The 6000-nt window shown below is 43.1% G+C and overlaps 1 protein-coding gene across 19 annotated transcripts in view; it reads left to right on the forward strand.

Moving 5' to 3' along the window:
* Positions 1-1793, forward strand: part of PPEF1 (protein phosphatase with EF-hand domain 1) — a 152851-nt gene extending 151058 nt beyond the window's left edge. For all 19 annotated transcript variants that reach the window (XM_047442194.1, NM_001378382.1, NM_001377986.2 and 16 more), the window contains one exon: positions 1152-1793. In XM_047442194.1, coding sequence (XP_047298150.1) covers positions 1152-1363 — 212 coding nt within the window. In that variant the 3' untranslated portion in view covers positions 1364-1793. The remainder of the gene's footprint in view (positions 1-1151) is intronic.

A 6000-nucleotide genomic window follows, 5' to 3' on the forward strand; every position in this document is an offset into this window, starting at 1 on the left:
TTTATCTATTTTGTTCTTCATCTAACATGATGAAACTTGAGGGGAAAAAGAAACTCATTTAATATTATTGTTATTTCAGTTTGGCTGCAGACTCTGTATTCAAGACCATAGAGTCCTACAGAAGCCTAGGTAGCCATCAGTCAAACTGAAATAACTTTTTATAAATCACCAGCACAAATGAAAAGATGATTTACTATCCATTTCAGTATCTTAGTTACTCATGGCCATAAAAATCATTCCTAGAAATCTGATTCTGTTTTGGGGAGTAAGGGCTATGAAAAGTCATTTTCTGCTTTTTTTTTTTTTTTTTTTTTTTTTTTTGCGACAGAGTTTTGCTCTTGTTGCCCAGGCTGGAGTGCAATGGCGGGATCTCAGCTCACCACAACCTCTGCCTCCCGGGTTCAAGCAATTCTCCTGCCTCAGCCTCCTGAGTAGCTGGGATTACAGGCATGCGCCACCACACCCTGATAATTTTTATTTTTAGTAGAGATGGGGTTCTCCATGTTGGTCAGGCTGGTCTCGAACTCCCGACCTCAGATGACCTGCCCACCTCAGCCTCCCAAAGTGCTGGGATTACAGGCGTGAGCCACTGCGCCCGGCCTTCTGCCTTTAGCTTTGATGCACAATTACTTATTTTCAAATTTTTAAAAACTCATCAGATAATCCCCTAATGCAGAGACCTTTGAACACCGAAAAAAAAAAAAAATCAATGATCAACACATTAAAGTAAATGATTGCCTGTGAAAAAGGCAGCACCATTGTTTGTAATCCTCTTATTGACTCCCACCGTATCTTCTCCCTCTGCTTTGATGTCATCCTCCTCTCTGCCCTCCTTCCATGCACCTCACCTTTCTATTTTAGGTCTTGTAATTTCTATACCACATTTAGTCCCATAGTCCACAACCCCGTCCCCATTTCTTCACTGTTTGCTCATTCTGGCTTTAGAATAAGTTCAGGATCCCTTGGTAGTTGAAAGTGAGATATTGTTTCTTACATTTATGATCTTACTCTTCCATATCCTTCAGTATCTTCATGATTAGGCAGTTTAGTGAGTTTCTAACTGGGGCTATTTAATCAGTGTGGGTTCCCCAACCCTTGCCTTAGGTGGGTCTTAAAATGAACACTCACAACCTTCTCCTATATTCTTTTAGGCCTGATCTCCGTGGAAGAATTTCGTGCCATGTGGAAACTTTTTAGTTCTCACTACAATGTTCACATTGATGATTCCCAAGTCAATAAGCTTGCCAACATAATGGACTTGAACAAAGATGGAAGCATTGACTTTAATGAGTTTTTAAAGGCTTTCTATGTAGTGCATAGATATGAAGACTTGATGAAACCTGATGTCACCAACCTTGGCTAAACACAAATGAGAGCTTCCCTCAGGCTCCCTGAAACAGCTAGGCCCAAATCACAAGTACAGTCCTTTCCAACACCCCTGAAATTCATAGTCAGTAGCAGAGAAAAGCAGATCCCAATTCATCCCACAAACAGATGCATAGTATGGGTTTTGGAAGTCCCTAGCAAGCTGTTATTGGTAAGATTAGGTTAAATGTCAGTAATAGGATTTGGTTTCAGCATTAGTACCTACATATTGCCAGTGAGAAACTGGGTTGGACCTAGTGGTGTTGTCGTGAGTGCCACCTAACCAGGAGGCCAGAGCGGTTTGAAAACATCCTGAAAGGAACTCATACAGCACAAGAGAAAACTACTAAGCTTGACATCTGTGAGTGACTGAGGGAGACAGGAGGAATACCAGGTTATTCATGGAATAAAGTCTTTCCATCTTTAAACTGTGATCTTCTTTGGAGATTTTATAAGCCAGTGATCCTCAATTAAGGGATCCACCCTTCAGGGATGAGAACCATATTGGATTCTTGGGGGGAATCTGTGGGAGTGTATTGTTTGAAAAAGCGTATTTGTGTGTGTGTGTATGTTGGAGATACAAAGTGAATACACTTGGATTGAGCCCTATAATTAATATGGTTTGACACCTTCATTGGTAAGATGGGGCCTTGCTTATGCATACTGTTAAATGAAAATTGTAGGAGCCCATTGTTTTGGACTAAGCTCCTTCACCAGGCCCCAACAGACTAGACTAAAAGTCAAAATGGGGTCACCCATGCTGAGGTCCTGTGTCATCTCCGGCCAGCTTCAATTGGCATAATAATGAAGTTCCCTCTGCCTTACAACAAAAATAACCTGATGTTAACCAATCAATTATTTGTTTATTGTTATTTCCCTGCTGTCTTACAAGGAAGGTAACTTTGAAACAACCAGTCTGCTTTTTGTCCTTTGGTTCTGCTTTCTTCAGTTTTTCTCTGTCTATAAAACCAACCTCCTCTGCTCAGCTTATCAGAACACTTTATTTTTACAGAAGGAAGTGTTGCCTGATTCTAGAATCACAAACAAAGCCAGTTAAGATCTTTAAATGTTATCTTTTGACCAATCTGGTGACCATAAAAGGGACCATAAGGAGACTACTAATTACTCTTAAGGGCCTCTTGAGGAATGCAGGAGACGTGCTGCTGACCCCTTTCAGGTCCCCTGTCTTCCTCACAGAGTCCTAGGTGTTGTAAATAAGTTCCTTTTGTGCCAGACTCTGCTGTTTTTGCATTGAGACCCCTGAATTTTTTGGCCTTCAAATCCAAGGTAAATGCCAAGAGTGAGCATTTGACTTTGGAGTACTGCTATGATTTGAATATGGTGTGTCCCCTCTGAAACTCATGTTAAAATTTTATTGCCATTTTGGCCATTTTGGGAGGTGGGGTCTTTAAGAGGGATTAGTGCCTTTCTCATGGGAGTAAGTTAGCAATTAAAGAAGTTCAGCCCCCTTTTCTCTGGTGTGTGAGTGCTCTCTCTCCCCTGCTCCTTTCACTTTTCCACCATGCTATAAAACAGCATGAGGGCCTCACTGGATGCAGCCACCCAATCTTGGACTTCCCAGCCTCCAGAACCATGAGCTAAATAAACCTCCATTCTTTATAAATTACCCAGTTGCAGGTTTTCTGTTATAGCAACACAAAACAGACTAAAACAAATACCAAGGGTTTGTGCCATAAGAGGACACATGGCTTTTGGGTTTGCAGTGGATGATGAGTCACCGGCAGGGGCTGCAGTTTCAAAGGTAACTGACAGTAGTTGCAGTAACTGACTGTTACTGTAGGAGTGAGCCTGGCTTTCAGAATTCACAGCTATCTATCCACTTTATTTCTTCTCTTCTTGTGTGCTGAGGTAAGAAAAATCATTAGCTAAGTTAAAGGGATTTCAGAGCCAAAACCAACTTTGCTCTGAGAGACCCAAGTTCCAACATAAAAATAGGATCCTTAATTTCTAAAGAACTGAGTACTCTTGGCTTTAGGCTGCCCCTTTGTTAGTGGTTCTTTCCCTCCCATGGACAGCTATAGGTTTCCTATTTGTCATGTTTTTGTGTTCTGAGAACTTGGTCAACCAACCAAAAGGTTGGGAGTTGCCAAGAATATGGCTAGACAGAAATGTGGGTTGCACCTTATTTGTGACTAGCATACTGACTGTTATGTCTAAATCTTTCTTTCTTTTGGCTGTCTTTGGTATTCTGGATTTTGATCTAGAAAGATTAATAAGAAACATAATGGACACCCCAAGTTCTAATGCATGCAAATATAGTCCCCCTTTAGGGACTCCAGACAGCTATGTATTCAAACATTATGGTCCATTCTTGTGCACGTTTTTAAACCTATGGGCAGATTATACCAAAGACTTGGCCAGGCACGGTGGTTCACGCCTGTAATCCCAGCACTGTGGGAGGCCGAGACAGGTGGATCACTTGAGGTTAAGAGTTTGAGACCAGCCTGACCAACATGGTGAAACCCTGTCTCTACTAAAAATACAAAATTAGCCCAACATGGTGGTGCACACCTGTAATCCCAGGTACTCGGGAGGCTGAGGCAGGAGAATCACTTGAACCCAGGAGGCAGAGGTTGCAGTGAGCCAAGGTCACACCATTGCACTCCAGCCTGGGCAACAAGAGTGAAACTCCATCTCAAAAAAAACAAAAACAAAAAAAGATTATACCAAGGACCATTTGGAGTTCCAGTGGTCTTTATGTGGACTGTTCAAGCCTCCCAAGGTTGTTTTTATTCTTTTATTTTTTTTATTTTTATTTTTTGAGAGGGAGTCTCGCCCTGTCTCCCAGGCTGGAGTGCAATGGTGCAATCTCGGCTCACTGCAACCTCTGCCTCCCGGGTTCAAGCAATTCTCCTGCCTCAGCTTCCCGAGTAGCTAGGATTACAGGCGCGCACCACCACGCCTGGCTGATTTGCATCTTTAGTAGAGACGGAGTTTCACCATGTTGGCCAGGCTGGTCTCGAACTCCTGACCTCGTGATCCACTCGCCTCAGCCTCCCAAACTGCTGGGATTACAGGCGTGAGCCACCACGCCCAACCTCTTTTTATTCTTAGAACTAAATTAGCAGACTGTAGCTATAGGGTTAAAGTCTGAATGGGATGTATATAATTGATTAGCATGTAGAGGCTTCTAAGCTCTCTTTCTCTCTGTCCTCCCCTGCCTACTTAGAATCTGCTGACATTTTTGCTTGGTTACCTGCCCAGGATTCCAAAATAGCCTTTTTAAAAGCTTCATTGCAAAGAGCTAATGAAAGGCTAGAAATGGAAGATATCCCCCACACCAAGGATGGTAAAACTGATGTAACTCCTACTGCTCCTCTCTATCCTACTTTGCCTGAATATTTAGTCTATTAATACTCTGTCTGAATTGCCCTTCTTCTGTGAAAAAAAAAAAAAAAAAAAAAAAAAAAAAAAACAGTTAAACAGTTTCCTTGTAGCATAAAACCATCTGAAAATTCAGGAGACAATCCTGGAGTGATTTACATTGCCTGGATAAAAACAGCTCAGGGCCATAGGTTAAAAATTTTGCAAACCCAGGGAAGACCTTTAATCTGAAGAATTCACAGTGTGTTTTTTTTTTTTTTGAGACGTAGTCTTGCTCTTGTCACTCAGGCTAGAGTGCAGTGGCGCAGTCTCGGCTCACGGCAACCTCCGCCTCCCAGGTTCAAGCAATTCTCCTGACTCAACCTCCTAAGTAGCTGGGATTACAGGCACCCACCACCATGCCCGGCCAATTTTTGTACTTTTAGTAGAGACAGGGTTTTGCCATTTAGACCAAGCTAGTCTCGAACTCCTGACCTCAAATGATTTGCCCACCTCAGCCTCCCAAAGTGCTGAGATTACAGGCGTGAGCCACCATGCCCAGCCAGAATTCACAGTCTTAATTATAACTTAAGATCCCGGGATGGGGGCCGGGCGCGGGGCTCAAGCCTGTAATCCCAGCACTTTGGGAGGCCGAGGCGGGTGGATCACGAGGTCAGGAGATCGAGACCATCCTGGCTAACATGGTGAAACCCGTCTGTACTAAAAATACAAAAAAAAAAAAAAAAAAAAAAGCCGGGTGTGGTGGCGGGCGCCTGTAGTCCCAGCAACTCAGGAGGCTGAGGCAGGAGAATGGCGTGAACCCGGGAGGCAGAGCTTGCAGTGAGCCAAGATGGCGCCACTGCACTCCATCCTGGGCGACAGAGCAAGACTCTGTCTCAAAAAAAAAAAAAAAAAAACAAAAGATGCCGGGATACCTGATCTACACCAACTAATTTACATGTTGGTGGGATCTGGAAAGCCCAAAAATAGATGAAAGAGGCAGAATGGTATTTTCCTAAGAGTTATATTAGTGACCTGACAAGCCCCACCTGGTCCATTTACGGGTCAGACAAACCCTGAAAGATTGCAAATGACCTTAGGAAAGCTATTTCCAAAGTATTTCAGCTCTATGGCAACCAACAACCTAGAATGACTTGTGGGCCTGCCCCAGGGCATTCCAATAAGCAACCCCTAAAACTGCGGTTTCGAAAAACTAGTTGTCATTTGTGCAAATGATCAAAACATTGAAAAAGGGACTGCTCCCAAAGAACTTGAGAGAAGCCCTTAAAAACAAGCTGCCTACCTCTGATC

Source organism: Homo sapiens, chromosome X, assembly GCF_000001405.40.
Source record: "Homo sapiens chromosome X, GRCh38.p14 Primary Assembly".
NCBI lineage: Eukaryota > Metazoa > Chordata > Mammalia > Primates > Hominidae > Homo > Homo sapiens.